At 44.8% G+C, this 24,652-nt stretch overlaps 1 protein-coding gene across 3 annotated transcripts in view, besides 1 other annotated feature; it reads right to left on the bottom strand.

Moving 5' to 3' along the window:
* The window catches only part of TRRAP (transformation/transcription domain associated protein), a 134,710-nt gene that overhangs the window by 62,028 nt on the left and 48,030 nt on the right, over window positions 1-24,652 (bottom strand). Inside the window, exons 23-39 of one of the 3 annotated variants that reach the window (NM_001375524.1) lie at window positions 23,848-24,047; window positions 21,008-21,225; window positions 20,384-20,581; window positions 19,549-19,809; window positions 17,812-17,973; window positions 15,539-15,635; window positions 13,937-14,058; window positions 13,394-13,564; window positions 8,197-8,265; window positions 5,414-5,467; window positions 5,264-5,284; window positions 2,874-2,993; window positions 2,529-2,648; window positions 1,633-1,797; window positions 1,373-1,554; window positions 952-1,150; window positions 210-338 (exon numbers count right to left, since the gene is read on the bottom strand). In NM_001375524.1, the coding sequence (NP_001362453.1) occupies window positions 210-338; window positions 952-1,150; window positions 1,373-1,554; window positions 1,633-1,797; window positions 2,529-2,648; window positions 2,874-2,993; window positions 5,264-5,284; window positions 5,414-5,467; window positions 8,197-8,265; window positions 13,394-13,564; window positions 13,937-14,058; window positions 15,539-15,635; window positions 17,812-17,973; window positions 19,549-19,809; window positions 20,384-20,581; window positions 21,008-21,225; window positions 23,848-24,047 (2,488 nt within the window). The remainder of the gene's footprint in view (window positions 1-209; window positions 339-951; window positions 1,151-1,372; window positions 1,555-1,632; window positions 1,798-2,528; window positions 2,649-2,873; window positions 2,994-5,263; window positions 5,285-5,413; window positions 5,468-8,196; window positions 8,266-13,393; window positions 13,565-13,936; window positions 14,059-15,538; window positions 15,636-17,811; window positions 17,974-19,548; window positions 19,810-20,383; window positions 20,582-21,007; window positions 21,226-23,847; window positions 24,048-24,652) is intronic. The other 2 variants (NM_001244580.2, NM_003496.4) reach the window with 2 other exon arrangements.
* Window positions 393-1,592: an enhancer, noted in NCBI's record as "MED14-independent group 3 enhancer chr7:98547245-98548444 (GRCh37/hg19 assembly coordinates)". NCBI's record gives its function as "activates an origin of replication core promoter dependent on BRD2, BRD4, P300/CBP and CDK7 cofactors, and independent of MED14, by STARR-seq in HCT116 cells {active_cell/tissue: HCT116}" and the evidence as "EXISTENCE:reporter gene assay evidence [ECO:0000049][PMID:35650434]".

The following is a 24,652-nucleotide window of genomic DNA, read 5'->3' as shown; positions in this document are numbered from 1 at the left end:
AAGGCTGCCTTCAAAAACTCACTAACAAGAATCGTTAAGGTGACGGTCTGCTAAAAACTAACACAATCATGAAAAATAAACGTGTTGGCGGAACAAACTTATTTCAATGAACCCCCTTAACACACACACACACACACACACACACACACACACAGATGTTCATCCACATGCCAGGCTACTTCTCACACCCACACACATAGTGATACCACCTTGGTAATAAACACACTGGTGATGCTTTCTGGGTTATCTCCTTCTGGATTGGGAGGTCCCAAGAGCTGCTCTCCTTCCCCCTTCTCAAAGCTGTACAAGAAAGCAGGATTCAAGATATGCTGCAGAACCTACAAAAAAAATTTAAATAAAGAAGGAGAAAAACAAAGCCATGCTGTTTGTTTCTTAAGACGGGAAGAACAGCTAGTCTTGGCCTTAGCACACCATCAAGTTGGAACTCAACCCAGGGTGTGACTACCAACCTTGACTCCTATGCAAAGAGCAACTAGAAAGGTAGGTTAAAAACTTGTGGAAAAGAGATGTCAGCCTGGTTTATTCTTTTCATGTCAAACAAGCCATTTTCTAAAAACAAGGCAATTAACAAACCACCCTTCAACACTGGGTCACTCCTGCATGCACCTGACGCTCCTGAGCAACGGCACTTTCTCACCTACAGCCCAGCCCACTAATTTTATTTTTTTCTTGAGACAGAGTCTCATTGTGTCACCCATGCTGGGATGCAGTGGTGTGATTATAGCTCGGTGCAGCCTCCAACTCCTGAGCTCAAGCAATCCTCCCGCTGTGGCCTCCTGAGTACCTGGGATTACAGGCACATGCCACAGCACCTGGCTCACTCTACTATTTATTCAAGAGTGACACAGCAAAAAAAGAAAAGGGCCCAAAGTTCCCTAGAAAACCAGACCAAATACCCATACCCTTCTACAGCATAAGAGTGGGACTCACTTTAGCTTTTAATTCATCTCCGAAGTTGGGGTCGTTGAAGTCTACAAAGCGAAAGAACAGGGCACGTTTCTGAGCGATGCTGTAATTTTTGGGAATCTCTTCCTCCATATACTCTTTTAAGAATGTCATGTTGCAGAGAAAACGACCAGTAAAGGCTCGGAGCAGCTGGAACAGCAATTCTATATCTCCGTAATTCCTTCTGGAGGGTCAAAAGAAGAAGACAGGTTAACTTAGAGCAAATTTCATTAACAACTACGCCTCTGACTTGCCTTTAAACAGCTCAGAGACACAGCCCATTCTCCACAACCAATCTGACTGCACGCATCCAATGACCACAGCCTTGTACAGAGTAGAAGGAGGCTCTGGCTGAGCTTTTGGGACAGAGCCAGTCCCGCGGGGCAGGGCGGGAGGAGGCACCCACTTGCAGTAGTTCAGCAGGCAGTAGGCCAGCAGCTTGGGCTCCTTCCAGTTGGTGGCTGCCATGTTCTCCTTGCGGTGCCTCTCTTGGAAGTTCTCACTCACCCACACACGTCGCAACTGGCTCACCAGAGAGTGCTGGCTGGCCAGCCAGGAGTCATCGTTTTTCACTATAATGCTTATGATCTGTCAAAGAAGAGATAATTAGGGAACCGTGTCTCGATTAAACCCCTGGGCATTGGGGGCTGGAGGAAGGGGCGCTACCTTGATGGCCTGGAACTGGAGGTCCAGGCGCATGGTGCTGGTGCTGGGCGAACCGGGGCGCACAGCCGTCTGGGCACCCCCCGGCAGCAGCAGGGTGATGAACCTGTTGGGGTTGGCAGCCAGCACATCCCGCAGAGGTCTGGCGTCTTTGTGTTTTAAAAAACTCTGAAAGCAAAACAAATAGAAAAGCCGTTTTAAGCTAATCAAACTCACAGAAAGTTAGAGGATATGAATGTTAAATCTTTCTAAATCTTTTAAAAATCTTTCTAAATCTCTCAAAGAAGGCTTACCAAAAAAGCACCACACGCATGCTTTTTAAAAAGATGCTTTTTTTTTTTCTTTTTAAAAAGAGACAGAGTCTTGGGTCTATTGCCCAGGCTGAAGTGCAGTGGTAAAATCATAGCTCACTGCAGCCTCCAACTCCGAACTCAAGCAATCCTCCCACCTCAAGCTCCTGAGGAGCTGGGACTACAGGCATGTGCCACCGTGCCCGGCTAATTTTCATATTTTTTGTAAAGACAAGGTCTCACTCTGTTGCCCATGCTGGTCTCAAACTCCTGGGCTCAAGTAAACCACCTGCCTCAGTTTCCCGAAGTGCTGGGATTACAGGTGTGGGCCCTTAGAAAATACTTTTAAATAATAATCATACTTTATGATTTTATAATCCTGGCAGAACATTTATTTGCTACCACCACCAAAGTCCTATAAAGAGTGGTTCCTAGACCTGCACATTTCACAGACACAACCAAACAGCAATGCTGTTTCCAATATTCAAATGGATCTGAAAAAAAAGCAGCCAGGACACTGAATAGTGAAATATGAACTGAACATTTCAGAGCACGACAGCTCACAAGCATTTGAAGGGACCCCTGACTCCAGCTGCTCACAGCTCTTACCATAAACATTCTGCTCCACTGGGGATCGTTCAGTGTGGCTTCCATCATGAACAGCTCCACTGTCTGCGAGGGATGTCGAGTCAGGAACTTGATCAGGGGCTCTCGGAATGGACTCCCCGCCTGCAAAACATGTGGGAATGCTGCATCTCACAACTTCCTCTTCTCAGAGCTTGAGGCTGTCTACCTAACAAGGTCCCTTGTTACTGGAGTGCATGAACACCCACAAGCAAATGTTGACATCGAACGTCTTTATGCTGTTCCGTCCATTGAAAATACGATCAAGTGAGGACGCTATAAGCACCGGAGGGTGGCAGAGCGAGAAGCAGCCTTCAGTATGGCCCTTACCTCGATCAGCATCGCCCGCTCCGTTTTCATGACAACCTCTAGCAAAGGCTTCACCAGTGTCTGAGGAGCAGCCGGGATCAGATGAAAAAGGTTTATAATTGCTGAGCAAATCTTCATTTCCTGATCAAGAAAACCAGAAATTATAAACAGGTCGATTAATTTTGCAAGTGACAGAGGTCAACGTCACTACAGACCCTACTATAGTCTAACTATGTTGGCAAGGCTAGGCAGTGAAGCGAAGGGTTCACATGTAAAAGCCACAACTTACTAGCCTTAGGTTCTAACTGTGCTGTGTCCTAAGGAAACTGACTGCCCGTGGCCTTCAGCATTCCTGTCCATTGTAGGGGTGTGGAGGGGCCGACGGTGTACACCCGATGTGATCGTGCTGTTTGCTGTCATGCGTGCTCACAAGTGGTAAAGGTGACCTTACCAGGCTGCCATAATAGTCCCCTCACAGAAGCAGGGATGATTCCACCTGGGGCCAGAGCAGTGTGAGGATGCCCTACTTTGCCAAGGTATCACGAGGTCCTCTCAACACACTAAGTTCTAAGGGCACAGATGTCTTTTGCCCTCAAAACCTAGCAGTGGCCAGTGTGGTAGCTCATGCCTGTAATCCCAGCACTTTGGGAGGCTGAGGCGGGTGGATCACCTGAGGTCAGGAGTTCGAGACCAGCCTGGCCAACATGGCGAAACCCCGTCTCTACTAAAAATACAAAAGTTAGCCGAGCGTGGTGGCGGGCGCCTGTAGTCCCAGCTACTCCAGAGGCTGAGGCAGGAGAACTGCTTGAACCCAGGAGGCGGAGGTTACAGTGAGCTGAGATCGTGCCACTGCACTCCAGCCTGGGCAACAGAATGAGACCCGGTCTCAAAAAAAAAGAAAAGAAAAAAAAAACCACACAAACAAAAAAAACCCTAGCAGAGAAAGTTCTTCAAAAAATTAACTATTTACCCTGGAAATTAAATATCAATGTATATAAACAACTGATCCTGGTACTAAGTATTTGTCAACCAGGCCTAAAAATAAAGCTGACAAACTGCTCCGCTGAATTAAATCAAAGATGTGTGAAATGCCAAGGGTGCTGCATGTTCTACTGTCTCACAGCTCAGGGGTGGGCTGCTGTTGCTCCAGCTTTCCCTTCTCACTTTCCAGTTTTGCTCCTGTCATTCAAAGGAATTCTCCATGGCCACAAGGGAGGGACACGTTCCAATGTGCCGTGCTGCGCTGTGCGCGCTGCGATCCTCGGGGTAAGAAGGGGATGATAGCACGGATCAGGAAGGGCCCCACTCCCAGCAGCACCTGAGAGACTTTTCAGAATTTCTCTTTACACCAAAAGGCAAAGCAGGAGATGGAGACAAAATGAGGAAAATGGGCTCAAGGCCAGCTCCATGCCCCCTACAATTCTCTTCCCCAGAATCTGCAAGACTTAGGAAGAGTAAGTTCTATCCTGAAATTATAACATTCTAAAATGGTACTTTTACAATCTGCTTTTTCATTTTCAAAGCACTGTCACAGAAACCACTTCTTTGGGTCTTTGCAACACCACTGGGAGGCAGGAGTAACAGATGCCATCATCCCCATTTTACACAAGAGGGAAAGCTCGGGGTGTGTGCAATGCTGCACAATGTTGTGAGTGCATCAGTGTGTGTGTGCATGTGTGGTATGTGTGCATGTGTGTTGTGTGTGCATGTGTGTTGTCAGTGCATTGTGGTGTGTGTGCATGTGTGGTGTGTGTGCATATGTGTTGTGTGCATATGTGGTGTGTGCGCGTGTGGTGTGTGTGCATGTGTGGTGTGAGTGCATGTATGTTGTGAGTGCACTGGTGTGTGTGCATGTGTGGTGTGTGTGCATGTGTGGTGTGAGTGCACGTGTGGTCTGTGTGCACGCGTGTTGTGAGTGCATCGGTGTGTGTGCATGTGTGGTGTGTGTGCACGCAAGAGGGAGATGAAGGGGACTGGGTGGGTGAGTGGGACAAGCTGTAAGGTTTTAAATTCAGGGCAGTCAGTAGTGTGAAAGAACATGTAATTCCTCCCACTTCTAGCAGGCACAATATACTCTGTGTGAGTTTCCTCTCAGGAGGTTGCTAGCTATGTGTATTCAGATAGAGGTTACGAACACAAAATCTAATTCAATCTTGAATATAATTGAGACATTGCAATTCTCACACGAACTTAAGAGTCTTGCTTAAAACATCCTAATAGAAAACATGCTTGGCATCAGACAGTTCACAGCAATGATACTGATACAACTCTGCCACAGACAGACAATACAGGTCACTGCACTCAAGGGCACAACGCACTCTGTCCAGTACAGAACCACGACACAGCTAACGAGTCACAGCAAAACCAGCAACGACAACAACCCCCTCCTGTAGCTCCGCTCAAGTTCTCACCTCTACCCCTTCCATGGCAGGCTGAACCAAAACAAAAATTACAGCATGAAAAAAGGCAACAGAAAGGTAAAAAGAAAAGAAAAGAAAAGAAAAGGTAAACTTTTCTTCACATTGCAAGTCAGAAACTGACTGTTAATAGGTTGTTCTCACCTCAAACTGACAGAATGGAGACAAGGGACATCTCCCGCACTCGGAAATGCTTTCCTGAGGATGGGGAGGAAAATCATCTTTTTTCTATTTATGTTATTTACATAAAAACTTCCCACATACTCAAACACAGTAAGGGTTATTGGGGTTAACAAGACAGTAAAGACACAAATTATCAGAAAGCACACAGTAATTAACAAATGCTCAACAGCAAAAAGCACACTTTCACCTTCGATGTCAAAACACGGCCCATCTGACAGAGAGTGTCTAACAGTGGAATTCTTCCCTACAGCACGTTTTCAAAATAGGGTTTCAGGATTCTTGTGAAAGGGGAGAAACTGGAAGACCTTGTTGTATGCAAGTACATTTTTAAAAAGTCTTTTGTAGAGTGAACAAATTTTATATGAAGGGCTAAGATAATAAAAAATAACAAAAACCTCTTTCCCGGCTACAGTCAGAAGAGGTCCAGGTGGTTTAGGCCATCACCGCACCCAATGGACAGCTGGGTTATCATGTAAAGTAAGCAGTCTTCCTAAAACTAGCTCTGTGTGGGTGTGTGTGTGCACGCATGTATGTGTGCATACACATAACAAGTGGTCACGCGTTCTCCCCTGCAAGCTCATGGTTAAAAAGGGAAGCTTCCTAAACACAGTGATGGGGCAGAACTCTGATCAAAGGGGTATCCAAAGCTTCAGGGCAGGCTGGCCACTGTCACTCACGCCTGTAATCCCAGCACTTTGGGAGGCGAAAGCAGGTGGATCACCTGAGGTCAGGAGTTCAAGACCAGCCTGGCCAACAAAGTGAAACCCCATCTCTACTAAACATAGAAAAATGAGCTGGATGTGGTGTCAGGCGCCTGTAATCCCAGCTACTTGGGAGGCTGAGGCAGGAGAATAGCTTGAACCCAGGAGGTGGAGGCTCCAGTGAGCCAAGACTGTGCTATTGCACTCCAGGCTGGGTGACAGAGGCTCCGTCTCAAAGAAAAAAAAAAATGCTCGAGGGCAGCTTTGACTTATTTCTTTAGTCAACGATCTAGCATATCTTCAATTATAGTGTCTCAACGGAACACTGTCATTTGGGGATTCCACCAAACAGGAACTAACTACTTTCCAAGATTAAAATATGGTCAGAGTTCAAGAGCTGAACAGTGGCCTGGCCCCAGGCTTAGGTGATGAAGCCATGGCCCTGTTGTCTCTGGGCCCCCAAACACCATGGCCTCTGAGTTTCAGACAAGCCCCCAAACACCATAGCCTCTGAGTTTCAGACAAGCGGCCAACCTCACAGAGCTGGACCCTCCCTGGATGGTCAGGTAACACAATCACAGGATAAAAATGTTCCAGGAGGAGCTCAAGGACTTCCCAGTATCCACGACTCCATCCCCTATACAACTGCACCCCCACCTCCAAATAATCTGCTAACTTTTATGAAATATTTTATTTTTTTTTACTAGGCTACATTAAGGACTTTATATTAAATCTTTTTGATTCAAATGAGGTTGAATCTACCCACTAGGTTTTTTTTTAAATGTTTATTCTAGAACTGACTGAGTTCCAGAAAATTAATAGCTTACTATAAAAACAAATATAAAATGTAAAGCAAAAGTACCTAACAGATGAGAGAGGGAGAGCAGCACACAGACACCTGCACCTCATCCCAGGAGCCTGGGCTCATTAATATACTCTGCTCTCCTCCACGAAGAGTTCCTGATTCTCTTCCACATATATAAACAGCAAACCTTTAACAGGGTCATGCGTGGCATATCACTTCTTTAAAAAAATCCTGGTTTAGTTTTGCTTACTTGGCTGTTTAGAAGCAGTAGGAAACAAGACTTACATAAACAAAACACCTTGACACACAATGGTCAAAACAAAGCATAATAAAGCCAGAAAAGAAAAATCCAAGTTAGGATGGAACACATCCAGCAAAGGCACACGAGGACAAAAAGCCACGTTAATTATGCCTCTGAAGAACTATAAGGAAGTCCCTAATAGGAATACTGCTGTCATGTTTCACTGGGATTATGAAACTCATGGAAAAGGCAATTCCACTGCGAGGACAGCAAGTTAAAAACAAAAACTGTAAAAAATAAACATATACAAATAATATTAGATTTAAAACAGCAGAAAGCATGCATTCTTAAGAGACAAAGTCTTTAATGACCCACAATAGACACTTTAAAAGATTTAGCTGAAGCGGTTTTCCTTTAAAACCATACAAATGTGCTTTGAAGGGCCAGTCATATAACTGGGCAAACAATTGGGGTGGATGACGCAGACCTTGAAAACACACGTGCCAGTATTTATGGGATTCCTTTTTACATTCCCCTCAAAGCTTTCAGTCCCAAAAACCAGTTGGTTTTATCAGGCAATAATGATTAAACACATTTACCGACCACCCCGTGATGGAAAGCAATGGAAACAATAGCTGAGGAACGCACCACCATGTAGACAGCAGCTGCCAAGGACAGGCTAGAAAATACACTGTTTAAAGCAGAGCTGGTAAAATTGAAATACTAACATTCAAGCCCCCCAGAATTCTCAACAGAAGAGTCATATTAAAGTGAACCAAAGGGGAGATTTTAAAGAAACATAAAAAGGAATGTTTAGCAATTAAGAGAAAAGATAGGCAAAACAGAATACCAATCAAATGTGTTTAACAATTTACAAGGACTACAATCACGTCAAACTAGGTTTCTGACCGGCATTTTAATGAAAGCACTGTCCCGGCATTAGCACTGACCCAGCATGGCGGCTGGTGCCCTTCCCAGAAACAAACAAGTCACTCACGTTTCCGTCGCTCCTCTGGCCCCCTTTGTGGGTGATCACCACCACTTCCATCCACTTGCGCAGATGTTGCTGTTGGAAAAACACATCCTGAGACACAACTTCACAGTAGGTGCATTCCACTGGTGGAAACTACTATGTAATCATTCATTTCCATCGTGTTTAGTGTGAGAACTGCAGTGTTTCCATTATTAAAACAGCGCAACCATCTAACTAGTGATGAGAATAACTGGCATTTGTTCATGTTTCAAAATAAAAAGCCTGCCTTGCTCTGACACAGAAGGAAACGCCCTGACTCCCGGGTGTTCCAATACCATGCCCTGCCATTTTACTTCCTGTTAACTTGTTTCCTAGCTGTTCACTGAGTGCTTGGAAGTGTCGGCTCCCACACTGGGTGTCACAGTAGAGACATGAACGGCCGACATCATCCCTGTCATGATGTCCCTCTCCTTGCGGAGCCCGTGGTCTGATGAGGAAAAAGGTAAACATAAAGGTGCCTGCTGTGTGTAGCTACAATTACAGTGTTGTAAGAGGAAGACAGGAACCAGCTCTGGATGAGAAAGGAGGGGGTCGGGGTCCTCCTGCTGAGGATGGGACTAGAGAAGGCAGGAATGCCAGAAGCAGAAGGGCAGAGAGAAGAGGAGGGCAAAGGCCCTGACAGCACAGAAGGAACGGTGGCCACGCGGGGGAGCAGTGGGCACAATGGGGACCCTAGGGAAGGGGCTGGTGAGATAGATGTGGACCCCACTTGGTCAGGAACTGTGCAAGTGAGTGCCATAGGGCCACAATTCCCTCTGCAGAATGAGGGCCATGCTTCAGCAAGAGACTCTGCATTTAAGTGTATGGGAAGAGACCCCAGACTTTAGCTTAACCCAGGCACCTGGTAGCCAGGCTCCAGCCTCTGTGTCCAGCAAAACCAGGCAGACAAATGCCCGGGCCTTAAAGCTAAAACCACAAGAAGAGCATTCAATAACAGTTGCATATTTATTACCCTGCGTTGTTCAAACCTGCCCTTCACAACACCGAAGTCCTACAGGAAGTTAGCAAGCTGCTTTAAAAAGGTTTCCATAGTAAAACAGGAATGGGGAACAATGGTTTGGACACCTTAAAAACTCTTCTCTAAGACAAGCCTTCTCTGAGCCTTTAATGTCCTTACAGTCCATGTCAAACTTTGAGAAGCCGCGTTTCCCAACCTTACGTGGCCAATGAACTGGTCTTCATGAAACACCGACATCGTGCGGAGTCAGTGTTCCAGGGAACACTGGCATTGAGAAATGCATACAATAATACACATTTCTTCAAAGCACTCAACATTTTACCAACAACATTCCCTGAAAGATATTAATCACCAGAACAGAAATTCATGAACCCTACTCCTTACCAGAATGGCTCCTTACACAAAGATGTAAATGAGAGTAACAGAATTAAAGGGGTAGACAACAGCCAGCCACATCACCATTCTTTTTTTCCCAAAGGAATAAAATGACACTAATGGGTATATAAAATTCATCTTTAGTTTGATGAGGAAATATTCAAGCCAATCAAGCACATGGCCAGGCGCGGTAGCTCACTCCTGTAATCCCAGCACTTTGGGAGGTGTACAGATCAACTGAGGTCAGAAGTTTTAGATCAGCCAGGCCAACATGGTGTGACCTGGTCTCTACTAAAAACGCAAAAACTAGCCGGGCACGGTGGCGCATGCCTGTAATCTCAGCTGCTGAGGAGGCTGAGGTGGGAGGATTGCTTGAACCCAGGAGATGGAGGTTGCAGTGAGCTATGATCACGCCACTGCACTCCAGCCTGGGACACAGAGCAAGGCCCTGTCTCAAACAAACAGAAAAACCAACGAACCACATAAAAGACTTAATAATCATATGTCAGGTAACTCAATCTTAAGGAAACTGAACATCATATGCAAAAGAATGAAGTTGGACCATTATCTAATGCCATATACAAAAATGAACTCAAAATGGGCCAAAGACCTAAATGTAAGAGCTAAAACTCTAAAACTCTTAAAGAAAGGTAAATTTTCAGGGTTGTTTTCATGAATGCACACCCTAAAAGTAAGGTGCCTTGGCTCTTAAAATTCTGCTGATGGCTTGAGCTATTAAACTCGAAGGCTTATGAGGGAAAACAAGAGCTCCAGCAGTGACTGAACTTGGTTCTGAAGAACATGATTAAGTAGGGAAAAGTGTGTCCCTTACCACTGCCTCTGGCAGAGCACAGCAGGCAGGTGTAATTCAGGAAGACCTCTGCCACTAAGCGCAAAGGCACCGTCAACGTTAAGTCCAGGTGGATGCTGGATGAAAACGTCTGGATGCAAACTCCTCCAGTTTGAACCACTCAGAGAGCAGAAAAGGGAGGAAAAAATTCACCTAAATGAACCATTAACACAAAACCCATGTGATTTATTTTAGGCAGAAAGAACACTGGCCTTGGTCAGAAACTACAGACATTAAGGCAGCTGTCTTCGTACTGCACTAAAAAAAAATCTGGGTAACAATGTTCACTGAATGAATTCCCAGCTCACAGCAGGTCTGAAGGGTTAGACTGGGGACTAAAAATAAACAGGCTGGGCCAGGCGCAGTGGTTCACATGAGGTCAGGAGTTTAAGACCAGCCTGGCCAACATGACGAAGCCCCGTCTCTACTAAAAATACAAAAAATTAGCTGGGCGTGGCGGCAGGTGCCTATAATCCCAGCTACTTGGGAGGCTGAGGCAGGAGAATCACTTGAGCCCAGGTGGCAGAGGTTCCAGTGAGCCGAGATCGCGCCACTGTACTCCAGTCTGGGTGACAGAGTGAGACTCTGTCTCATAAACAAATAAACAAACAAACAGGCCAGGCACAATGGCTCACATCTGTAATCCCAGCACTTCAGGAAGTCAAGGCAGGTGGATCACTTGAGGTCAGGAGTTCAACACCAGCCTGGCCAACACGGTGAAAACCCAGTCTCTATTAAAAATACAAAAAATTAGCTGGGTGTGGTGGCAGACACCTGTAATCCCAGTTACTTGGGAGGCTGAGGCAGGAGAATCACTTGAACCCGGGAGGCAGAGGTAGGAATGAGACGAGATCACACCACTGCACTCCAGCCTGGGCAACAGAGCCATACTCTGTCTCAAAAATAAAAATAAAAATAAACAAACAAACCAAAGCTGCTTCAGGCAAGCATACAAAGGCAGCAAAAAATGACAGACGACTTTTCAAGAGGAGACATACACAAAAGCATTAGGACATTTGGACACATGCATAGAGCTCATGGGCCTCATGTGTGAAAGCACCTCAGCCGTAATACAGGATGTAAGATAAAGTGTTTATTGGATGAGCTCTGATTAGGAAGTGATGTAACTTTATATATTTATTTTAGCCACTCTTGTGAATATATGGAATATATGGAAACTGATAGGTGTGTATGTGTATTACATATATTTGGAAGCTTAAGGTGAAAGTCCCCAATTTGGAAAATTCACTTCCATATTATACTTTGTTTTTCAATTATAATGTATTATTAGGGCATAACTTACAATTTTAGTATTTGGGTCATTATTATTTAGGTACTTGTAGATATGAAGAAACTAGCATATAGATGAGGTAAAAAGCTACGTGTCTTTCATATATGAGAGATTTCTCTACATTCCATGTGTAGATAAATACAATGTATCTGTGCACTGTGATACACTGTATCACACACAATGTATCCATACCTGCAATATCTCTCTCTACATAATGCAATCTCTACCTTATCTGTCCATCAGTAGATATAAACTCCTGTTTATAGTTGGGGGAAAGGTACACCAAAAATAAAAAAGTAGCTCCAGTATCTTAAAACGTCAAATGGTCAAAGGCTACTTGGGAAACATAAGCATGAAAAATACATTCATGTTTGCAGTGGTGGACCATTAAATCCTGTTTATTATTTATAAATCCATTTACCAGAAGCAAAATTGAATGCAAAAGAAAGCTAACAGATGAAATCCTCCATCCGCTTACATTTCAATTTTAAACACTGTCAAATGGGTTTTTTCCTGCATAATTATTTCTCTGGTAATTCTAAAAACCCAAAGGACTTCCAATGTTCTCACCCAAGACTGTATGAAAGAAGGCACACTTATCTATTTTGTAGGAGTGTATATTGGTAAAAATTTCTTTGGAGAGCAATTTGACAAGGTGTTGAAAGATTAAAATGCATACATTCTTTTGATCCAGAAATTCTACAACTAGAAATGTACACCACAGATAAAAGCATGTGAAATTATGAACAAGTCTTTCAGTGCATCATGGTATATAATGAAAAGGCTGGGAACAATCTAAATGTTCACCAGTGAGGCCATGGTTAAATAAATTATGGCAAGTTCATGTCATGAGGTATTCTGCAGCCATAAAGCAGAATGAAGTACTTCAGGTACTGACATGAAATGATGGCTGTTAAATGGGAAAAGCAAGGACTGTGTATATATATATTGTACCCCCTTTTATAGGAAAAAATATATACACATATGTCCTCTTACATATATAAAACATCTCTAAAAGGATACACAACAAAGTCTTAACCCTGGCTGTCTCAGGGAGGGGACTGGGTAGCTGGAGGACAGGGTGGGAGGGAGGCTTTCTGCAGTACATCCTTTTACACCTTTTCAATTTTAAGCCATCTGAATGCATTGTTTTTATTTATTTATTTTTTGAGGCAGGGTCTTGCTCTGTCACCCAGACTGGGGTGCAGTGATGCCATCTCGGCTCACTGCAACCTTTGCCTCCCATGCTCAGGTGATCCTCCCACCTCAGCCTCCAAGCCAAGAAGCTGGGACCACAGGCACGTGCCACTAAGCCTGGCTAATTTTCTTTTTTTGAGATGGAGTTTCACTCGTTGCCCAGGCTGGAGTGCAGTGGCACAATCTTGGCTCACTGCGACCTCTGTCTCCCAGATTCAAGTGATTCTCCTGCCTCAGCCTCCCTAAGTAGCTGGGATTACAGATGCACGCTGCCACACCAGGCTAATTTGTGTATTTTTAGTAGAGAGGGGTTTCACCATGTTGGCCAGTCTGGTCTCGAACTCCCAACTGCAAGCGATCCACCCACCTCGGCCTCCCAAAGTGCTGGGATTACAGGCGTGAACCACTGTGCCCAGCTGCATTATTTATTTTTAAAATAATTTAATTTTTTGAAAGTTTGTTACAGAGCGTTTAAATGCATTTGGCTTACCATCATCTGATCACAAAATTTATCATTGAAGGAATTTGGGAAGAGCCTCGTGACCGAAGTCAGGCGATTCACAACATTCAGCGTCAAGCTCCGGTAATCTCCCAGCATCATCAGCAAAGGTCGCATATGTGTGTGGATTTGATCGACTTCTATGGTAGCACCTTCTAAAAACTATTAAAAAAGAAAAGTTGTAAAGAAAAATAGACAACTGAGGACACTTCATAATAGAACAGAACTCATCTTCAACCTTAGCTGCAAGTTTCCGTTCTCCTTTAGGAAGATGGAATATTAATCATATACTATTTCAGAAATTTATGACGAAATGATGGAGACTTATCTTTACTGTTTAATATTTTAAAAAACTCAGTATGACTATGAAACAGGTATATTCTTATTACAGTTTAGTGTGTAATAACCACATGCATAAAGCCTTTTAGGCATACACTGTTTATATAGCAATAAACAGGAAGAACTCTTAATGCAGAGTACACACACATGTGTGTGCACACACGCGTGCGCATACACGCACGCACACACACTCACCTTTCTCATACAGGCTTCTCCGGCCTCTTGGAGCTCACTATTGGTGGAATTCAGGGCTTTGAAGAGTGCAGCGATGATTTTCTCCCTGGACTGAGGAAGGTAATTGCAGGCAGCAAGTGCATCTTCAGGGAGAGAAATCAAGACAATTCCATTATTAACTGGAAAGATGCCCAAATAATTTTCTTCTCTGTATTTATTTATTATTATTATTTGGTAGAGAAGGTGTCTTGCTATGTTGCCCAGGTTCATCTCTAACTCCTGGCCTCAAGGGATTCTCCTGCCCTGGCCTCCCCAGTGCTAGGATTACAGCTGTGAGCCACTGCCCCCGGCTGAATTTTCTTTCCCAAAGGCTCCTACCAACCAGCAAAAAATATGAACCACGAGCCCTCTTTCCTAGTGTTTGGCCCTGAGAAAGACAAAAGTACACATGGTCTTCCATCCACATGTTGAGTATAATCTAAGAGTGAAGTCCAGCCTGCCAGAAAAGCCATGATAAATCTTACGTCTTCAGATGAGAAGAAGAAAGCTTGAGGGGGAAGAAGAGAGACCCCACTGACACCCCTATCCCAGGACACCTTCATAGGGTAATGGGGTGGCTGGATCCAGGACAGGCCCATCTGAACAAGGCTGATGGCACGGTCTCTGGTCCTCCAGTGACAGGCAATGCAGGGGACAGACACACACAGCCCAGCCTTTCTTCACTACCCAGCTTTGAGGGTAAAAGGCTTTAAGACTTTCAAAAGGCAAATATTCTTAGGGAAGGAGACACACCTCAACCTTCTATGTCAGGTGACAGGTAACATTCATTCTAGCAAAAGTAGCACCCACAATGGCTAACAGGAAGGAGGCACAGGAGAGTTCCCCAAAGAAGGGACCCCAAGAGAAGAAGAAAGCTGCCAGTCACCCCTGGTCCCCCTGTTGGCTTTGGCTTGCACTGTCTGGAACACTCCACCCCATCTTCTAGCTCAGGTATTATGGTCTGCCTCTAAGCTCTCCACCTCTAACTCAAGAAAGATTCTGGAAATATGTTATTAAGAGCATAAAAATCAACAAAGCAGGAGAGAGTCAACCAAAAAAGTTTGTATTGGGTATTCACCTTCACTCCCCACTAGAAAGAAAATGATTGTTTCTATCTCAGCCAATACAGATCTAGTCTATTTTCCTACACTTTGCATCATTCCTGTGCTTGACAATGATAACTGAGGTTTCCCAGTGAAAAGCTAGAGACTGCAGGATTAACAAATGCTTGAGTCATTGAAAAGCTTCTAAGGCTGTCATGTCCCTTACTATATATACACTCTGATTCTGGCACCATATGAATGATACGACAATCCTTTTAAACCAGAACGTCTGATTCATAAAACAACAACAGACTTTACTATAAAGCACAAAATTACTTCAATCCTAACAACACATGTAATTTTATGGCATCTCATTACACAGTTTGATAAACATACAAAAATAATTTTTTGATCCCATCTTAAAAAGACTACAAAAAGTCATAAAAATTAGACAACAACAAAAGGCCACTTTTTTTTTCTATAGACCTCCTGTGGTCAGTCTCCTTTCACTTTTATACCCCGTAGATTTTCATTAACTTACTTAATGCCGCAATTCGTAAAGGTACGAGTGACGGAAGGCTTTTATAACAGGGCAGCTTTGTTAAAGCTGAATCTTCAGCCTCACACAAATTCAACAGCTGCAAAAGATAAAACAATTTCATTTAGCCCACTCTTCCTGTGAAGACATAATAACCTTGCAAATAACAGAACACAGCAATCTTCCACACACTGCAACACAATTAACAACTGACAAACTAAGCTCAAATCCTAAAGATTTTAAGTATCAAAGTATGACTGAGCCTCTTTAAGGCAAAACTCAGTTTACTTCATTAGTGGAAAGAATTCTTAGACACTTTCTCACCCACTCTGATACCACCATGTTTTTTTCTCACCCACTCTGATACCATCACGTTTTTTTTTCTCCTCAAAACAGGGGGTTACTTTATCTAACTGCAAATCCCATGATGGCAGGGCCGTGTCTTCCTGGTTCAGATCAGCCTCCCCAGGGCCTCAGACAAGTGTTCAAGAAACAGATGGGCTATAATTCAAATATTTAAGTGAACACACTTTTTTTTTTCAAGTACAGAAAAGCATAAAGTAGGAAGCTGAACATCACTGGGAATTCCAGTGGCTATCCTTCCAGATATTTTACCACACAAGTAGATATTTCTCTATCTGTTATCTAAATAACAGATATCGTGCTCTATCACTATTTCCCCCTTCTCTTCATTCACATCCTGGAAAACTAGTATAGGCTAATATCATTTTTCCCCCTTAAAAGATTCCAACCTGGTAAAAGACTTAAAACAGCAGAAAAGGATACAGAGTGAAAAGCACTTCAAGCCACCCACCCCATTCCACTGCCCAGAGGAAACCACTGTTGCTAGGGCCTTGTATGACCTTCAAAAATACTCTCCTCACATATAAGGGCATGCGTGTATATATGCGTGCAGGTATGGAGAGAGAGAAGTCAACTACAAAACAAAACCCCAACACAGCCACACAGCATCACCTGGGAAGCTTTCAGACAGTGGATTCCCAGGTCTCACCCAAATGGACTGAACCTGAATCTCCAAGGAAAGGACTCGAGTCCATGCTTTTCAAAAGATCCGCACGTGTTCTGATGCAGCCAGGCACTGAGAGACATCTGGAAAACCAGTTTCATGCCCTCAATACTGCCAGGCTCTGGTCTTAAGTGCAGTGAGGAGTTTTCCATGCAGGTTAAAATACATCTGTCTCTAGATCAGCCAAGGGAAGTTATGCATTTCCTAAAGGTCTTGACCTTCTGTCAAGCCTTACAAATGATAAGGTATAAAGATCAGAGCCAGATCATATGATCCTATAACCATATGTCCAAGCAAAAACAGGACCTTAAAATGTCAAGAGGTAAATTTTCATAATCAGAAATTCAGACAGTATGGACCTGGAAGAATTTGCTTTCTTCTGATTTTTGCCGCGGTATACTCTGACAATGCCTCTGCAAGTGTGATTCATGTCCCATAAAAATTTTAAATTTTATCTGATCACCAGACCACTACTGTATTCTAAAGATGTTGCTTATAATTTGGCAACACCCACAGTTTCATTCCTGTTTGTCAGACTAATAGCACCCCACACTGGAATGTTTACAGTGACAAATACTCATAAGATGCCATCTGCCAGGGTCCGTGTTTGGGTCAAGGGACAAATCAAGTCCACTAAAAAAAATAAGAACTCGGCTGGACAGTGCAGTGATTAGGAATCATGCTCTAAATAACAGTCCTGGCTTAAATTCAAGCTCTCCAGCTCACCTGCCCTGTGGCTTTGGGTAATCAGCAAACTCTAAGCCTCAGTTTCCACACCTTCAAAGTAAGAACAAACAGCTCAACCCCTACACTTCAGGGGGTGCTGTCAGAACTTAGGGCACTTGTGTGATGTTCTCAACAGCACATGGCACATTTCAGTGATTAATGAATGCAATAAATTGGCACTTGTGCCGGGCCAGCTGATCTAAGAATGATTAAAGCAACTGGGTGCAGCTTCATCTTTAAAATACAACCTTGAGGCCCTAAATTCAAGCAAAGATTCCTGTTGGGGCTAACAGAGTTCTGAGAACTCACAAGACATCAGCGTCTCTGCTGGCCATACCTCCCTTCCGCCCGAGCCCAGACGCAACATACCTGCTCAGGTTGCTGTGCCAGGTGTCAGTGGGTTACCTGCAGGTCCCCGCCCGAGCCTTCTCTGAATGCTGCCTGACCAGTCTTCGCGTACAAAGACAGGCTAGCAGACACACGTCATCACCATCCACACCACTCCGCACCACCACCCCCCTACCTCTGTGTAGAACACCTTATGCTCCACCACGTTAAGGTCCATTGTGAAGAGCCTGGGCTGCAACGTGGTACAGAACGTGTTCCCCTCCATCAGGCCAATCTGTGCGTTGGCAGGCTGGTGTCGGAGCAGGTGCTTCTTAGGGGGGACCATATCCTGCAGGACCTGGGGAAGCCAAGGAGGAGGCACCACTCACCAGCTGCCCCTTGAGACACAAACACTTTTTAAAAATGTGAAAACCATGTTTGAGATCCAAAGTTATTACAGATATCTTCTCATTAGGGAACGGGAGATACATTTCATGTGCAAAACCTCGGTCGTGGAGAGGCATGTAAGATGTTAGTTCCTAAAGGTACAGCGTAACCTCTCTCTCTTTAAAAATTAAAAAAAAAAAAAATCCAAAACAAAAGACAAAACCACAACAAAACAAGAATAAAACTACCAGACTGTGCTATAGCCTCAGGAATGCTACCCTCTACTCTCTTGAAGTACACTGTTTTTTGCAAATCTCAAGTCATAAAGAGCAGGCACAACGGTAGAGCTAGCCCTCTGTGTCTGTGGTTCTGCATCCTCAGATGCTACCAAGCAAGGAGAAAACATACTTGAGGAAAAAATAAAAAATAACGTGACAAGAAAAAACAAACTATTAAAGTGTAACTATTTACATAGCATTTACATTGTATTAGGTATTATAAGTAATCTAGAACTAATTTAAAGTATATGGGAGATTATACAAATTTTCATGTACCCATAAAAATTTAAGGATAGGCACGGTGGCTCACGCCTGTAATCCCAACACTTTGGGAAGCTGAAATGGGAGGACTGCTCGACCCCAGGAGTTCAAGGCCAGACTGGGCAACATAGTGAGAGCCCATCTTTATAAAAAAAAATAGCTGGAAAAAAATTTTTTAATTACAAAGAAGAAAATGACATTTTGGGCTGGATGATAATTTCCTTAAAGAAAAGAAATAATTTTAAAAGTTAAAAAAAATAGGCTGGGCGCAGTGGCTCATGCCTGTAATCCCAGCACTTTGGGAGGCCAAAGCAGGCGGATCATGAGGTCAGAAGACCGAGACCACCCTAGCTAACACTGTGAAACCCCATCTCTACTAAAAATACAAAAAATTAGCCGGGTGTGGTGGTGGGCACCTGTAGTCCCAGCTACTTGGGAGGCTGAGGCAGGAGAATGGCGTGAACCTGGGAGGCAGAGCTTGCAGTGAGCCAAGATCATGCCACTGCACTCCAGCCTGAGCAACAGCGAGACTCTGTCTCAAAATAAATAATTAAATAAATAAATAAAAGTTAAAAAAAAATAAAAAATAAACTAGCCAGGCGTGGTGGTGTGTGTCTGTAGTCCCAGCTACTTAGGAGGCTGAGGCAGGAGGATCACTTGAGCCCAGGAGTTCCAGGCTGCAGTGAGCTAGGATTGCACTCCAGCCTGGGCAACAGAGTGAGACTGTCTCAAAAAAAAAATGAAAATAAAAAAGCTTTAAAAAAGAAAAAATAAATCAATAAATAAAGTACACAGAATATGTGCATAAGTTATATACAAATATCACACCATTTTACATCAGATATTTGAGCATCCCAGATTTTGGTACCCACGCAGGGTCCTGGAACCAAGGCCCCACAGATACCAAGACACAAAATTATAAACGGAGTATCACCTCAACTCAAATTTAAAAAAAAGGCTCAAAAGTTTTGTTGAAATTACCTTGGTTCTGGTGACAGAAATCTCACCTCTTTGTGGGGTTCCATGATCACCGTGACACTCTTCCCAGTGACCTGGGCCAACACCTGCAGCGAATGCATGGCCTGCTTCCTCACAGTGGAGTTTGGAGAGGTGACTTCTCGAACCAAGTCGTGTGTCACATGGTGGAAAGACTTTTCCTGGGCGGCCACGATCTCTTCGGCTCTCTCCTCGTCTTTTAAAGGCGTTGCGCACCGCATCAGAAGCTGCTCCAGCGTGGTCTTTGCCATAGCGACTGCCCCATTGGAAACCTGCAAGTCAGGGATGTCTTAGAATGAAAGCAGGGCGATGCCACCCACTGCAACTGCCGTCTCCTGCACACCTGTCTGCCATAAAGACTGTCACTGGGGTCCATGCCCTTCTCGCCAGCTGCTTTAATGAGGTGACTTCACGGCACCCACTTGGTGCTTTAGTCCCTAAGTCACCTAATCAGAAAATGTGGATCCAAATGTGACCCCTGCATTCACCAGATAAGCTGGCAATGCCCATCATGTTCTACTGGTGTGAGTCATATCTGCATAGGTTTAAGAATGCAGCTCCTCCGGAAACAGCACATGAGAAGCAGAATTCCCCTTTTCAGACACACTGTGGTAAACACTGTGGCCTGTAACTGTTCTTTATCAAAGCAAACAGGTATTTAGATACCCACAGAAGGCCTATGGGAGCTCTGAGCTGTCCTTTTAGTGAAGATGCTGAAATGAAATCTGAGTATCAAAGTCACCATGCTGCTAGGAGAGCATATTTGCAGAAGGATCTTATAGTATTCTTCAGGAAACCACCATTTCAAAAACAGCATGGTTAGGTTTGGGGCCACCCATCACCTACCTCTCCAGTTAAGTCCATCATGACAAAGAGAAGTGCTTTCAGGAATGTCTGCTGGTTCTGGAGAACCCAAGTGAGAGGCAGCCGCTCCATGAGAAACTTAATAGACACCACACCCCCCAGCTTTGCATACCACGCCTGTTCATAACAACATGCACACAGGCGCTCCACGATGTAAGAAAACAGGGGCAGCTGGCAGGCCTGGAGAGGAAAATGAACAAACCACAACACGTTACTGCAATTCTTGTTTTTTTTGAGACAGAGTTTCGCTCTTATTGCCCAGGCCGGAGTGCAATGGTGTGATCTCGGCTCACCGCAACCTCCATCTCCCAGGTTCAAGTGATTCTCCTGCCTTAGCCTCCCGAGTAGCTGGGATTACAGGCATGCGCCACCACGCCTGGCTAATTTTTTTTATTTTTAGTAGAGACGGGGTTTCTCCATGTTGGTCAGGCTGGTCTCGAACTCCCAACCTCAGGTGAGCCGCCCGCCTTGGCCTCTCAAAGTGCTGGGATTACAGGCGTGAGCCACTGCGTCTGGCCGCAATTCTTAAACTATCAGTTTCTAGAAGGACCACTCTCAGGTACAGACACCCTCCAAATCAGAAGACACTCCTCAACCCTTCCTTACCCTCTCCTTGGAGCCCAGGATGATACTTGCAACATCAAATATCACAGCTAGGGCCACCTCCCCGATTTTGCAAAGCTCCTTTTCTTCATATGCCATACAAATAGCAATTGCATCAATGAGAACCAAAGGATCCATTCCTTTCGAGCCATTTTCTTCACTGTGAAACATGGCTGTGCTGGGCTGGCTGCCCACCTGGTAGCAAGGCAGCAAGAAAGGGCCTAAAAGGAGAGATGGGAAGGCACGTGAGAACAGTCTTGTCCCTCAAACTGCAGAACTCCCCAATGTTTTCCTTGAAGTTAGAAACTCCATAAAAAGCAGGGCACGGCGGCTCACACCCGTAATCCCAGCACTCTGGGAGGCCGAGGCAGGAGGATCACTTGACATAGAAGTTTGAGACCAGCCTAGTCCAACATGGTGAAACCCCATCTCTACTAAAAATACAAAAATTAGCCAGGCATGGTGGCAGGCGCCTGTAATCCCAGCTACTCAGGAGGCTGAGGCGGGAGAATCACTTGAACCCAGGAGACGGAGGTTGCAGATCACACCACTGCACTCCAGCCTGGCCGCCAGAGTGAGACTCCGTCTCAAAAAAAAAATAAATTAAAAAAAAAAGAAACTCCATAAAAAGCCACCACTGAGATTTCAAGCCAACTTCTGTTAAACTGCAATTATGTGTAAATTAAGTGGTCTGATATGCCTTTAGGCTGTATTTTTCTGAACGTTTTCTATGATACACTGTGTTATTTTCATGTATCTCAATCATAACTCAAAAATATATTAGTTCAAAATGAGAACCACAGTGGCTCATGCCACTTTGCCACTTTCATAATCTTTTACAATTAAATAAGCCCAGTACTTTGGGAAGCCAAGGCAGGGGAATCACTTGAGGCCAGGAGTTCAAGACCAGCCTGAGCAACATAATGAGATGCATCTCCATAAAAATTTTTTTAAAAATTAGCTGGGCGTGGGCTGGGTGTGGTGGCTCACACCTGTTATCCCAGCACTTTGGGAGGCCGAGGCGGGTGGATCATGAGGTCAGGAGTATGAGACCAGCCTGACCAATGTGGTGAAACCCCGTCTCTACTAAAAATACCAAAAAAATTACCCGGGCGTGGTGGTAGGTGCCTGTAATCCCAGCTACTCAGGAGGGGTGAGGGAGGAGAATCACTTCAACCCGGGAGGCAGAGGTTGCAGTGAGCTGAGATCGCACCACTGCACTCCAGCCTGGGCGACAGAGCAAGACCCCGTCTGAAAAAAAAAAAAAAATTAGCCGGGCGTGGTGTTACATGCCTGTAGTCCCAGCTACTCAAGAGGATGAGGCAGGAGGATCACTTGAGCTCAGCAGGTAGAGGCTGCAGTGAGCCATGACCACGCCACTGCACTCCAGCCTGGGCAACAAAGTGAGACTCTGTATCTAAAAAGCAAAACAAAACAAAAATTAAAAAAAAAATAAAGAAAACCACAATGGGGTAACATTTTTTAAAAAAATTATTAAATAGGCCAAGGGGCAGAATATGGGAATGACCATGGGTTATGCTCCGGATATTCCTAACATACAACAACAAAAAGCAACGGCATCCAGCTATGGCAGAGAACAGTCGGCCACAGCATTATTAGGTAATGCCTCGGAGGTACCCAGGTCCAAGGTGGAAGTTACTGAGAAGCTTAGTTTTGCCAGAAAGACAATGTTAACAAAGAACAAACACTGAGAAACAATCAAAGTGCTAAATTGTACAGTATTGACCCGTCAGGCCAAGAAAAGTTAAAGGGGAAAATTCTATGTGCTCTGCTGGTTGATCTTAAGGGTGAGGGGCTTTGAGGACACCAACTGGGCAGTGCTACTCCAGTGCGGTCTGCAGACGAACTGTGACTGGTCTGGGAGGAGATGCTGAAATTGACAGTAGGTTTTCAGAAACTTATGTAGCAACTGGCAGTGGCATGACATTTTTTTTGTCTTTTTTTTTCTTTTTGAGACGGAGTTTCGCTCTTGTTGCCCAGGCTGGAACAATGGCACGATCTCTGCTCACCACAACCTCCGCCTCCCAGGTTCAAGCGATTCTCCTGCCTCAGCCTCCCGAGTAGCTGGGATTACAGGCATGCACCACCATGCCCAGCTAATTTGGTATTTTTAGTAGAGACGGGATTTCTCCATGTTGGTCAGGCTGGTTTCGAACTCCCGACCTCAGGTGATCCGCCCACCTCGGCCTCCCAAAGTGCTGGGATTATAGGCGTGAGCCACCGTGCCTGGCCATTTTTATTGTCTTTTACAAAGACATCACCTACAATGGATCGGAAATAAAAGTGAACAAATACAAGTGGCCCTTCACCACCAAGAGTGTGAGAGCCACTGAAACGGAGGTGAGCAGCCGTTCCAGGCAGGAGGAACAGCAGAATGAGGATCCTGGGAGCAGAAACGGGCATCGCAGGGGAGACTGCGAGGCATGGGTTGGAGAGCAGGGAGCAGGTGATGGAGAAGTTTCTGGAGGGCAAGACTGGCCTTGGAAAACACAGCCAGGCAGAGGAAGGTGAGCAGTGAGTATGAACACAAACTGTCTGTTTCACAGGCAGCTTGTCCCAAAGCACTTGGACACAGAAGTATTATTAAATTGGGTCTATCTTACAAACAAAACTTGGTAGGTAGTAACTTTCAAGCTGATATAGTGCCCACCACTGAAATACCAATTATCAATGTCGTAAATGGAAAATTGGAAAATAAAAGCCGAAAATCAATCAGCCAAACTCAGCTTTTTCTAGAACAACAAAATGTCCTGAGCAAGTTTTTAAAGCACCTATAAAAGTCAAAGAACCAATCCCGTGCCCCACCGTGCCCCCGTGCTCACCACACTGCTGGGCGACTGCCACCATCGTATAGTGGCGGATCAAGCTGGCGACAAAGGGCAGGGCGCTGGGCCGCAGGTCCTTAATGACAGCAGACATGAAGGCGCCTGTCAGGGCCTGCTCAAAAGTCTTCCGGGCTGGAGTGTCCTGGGCTTTGTAGCGATGTGAGATGATAACATTGGGGATGGTCTTTTCTGTAAAGCTGAAAGGCAAAATCAGATCTGGTGTCACGACACCCAACTCCTGAGCTGATGACTCCACTAGGACTTCTTTTCAAATTTTTAATCTGCTTGCTTCCCTCTTATTCAGACAGGCCTGGGTAATTTATCTGCTTTAATTTCAGCAACACCTGGATGGAGTCTCGCTCTGTCACCCAGGCTGGGGTGCAATGGCGCGATCCTGGCTCACTGCAACCTCTACCTCCCAGGTTCATGCGATTCTCCTGCCTCAGCCTCCCAAGTAGCTGGGATTACAGGTGCCCACCACCACGCCCAGCTAATTTTTTTTGTATTTTTAGTAGAGATGGGACTTCACCATATTGGCCAGGCTGGTCTCGATGGTCTTGAACTCCTGACCTCAGGTGACCCACCCCCGCCTCAGCCTCCCAAAGTGCTGGGATTACAGCACGTTTTTTCAGGCTGTAAGTTTCCCTCTGAGTGTCACTTTAGCTGCATCCCATTTAGATTTGGTCACGAATTATCATTTTCTTGGCTCTTTTTCCTTCCCTCATCCTCAATCTTCCATGGAGGAACTTTCTGTCTGAATGAACATCCTTTAGAATGTTCTTTGCTGAAGATGTGCTGGTGG

Source organism: Homo sapiens, chromosome 7 (genome assembly GCF_000001405.40).
Source record: "Homo sapiens chromosome 7, GRCh38.p14 Primary Assembly".
Taxonomy (NCBI): Eukaryota; Metazoa; Chordata; class Mammalia; order Primates; family Hominidae; genus Homo; species Homo sapiens.
This window is presented reverse-complemented; position numbering and strand designations above follow the sequence as displayed.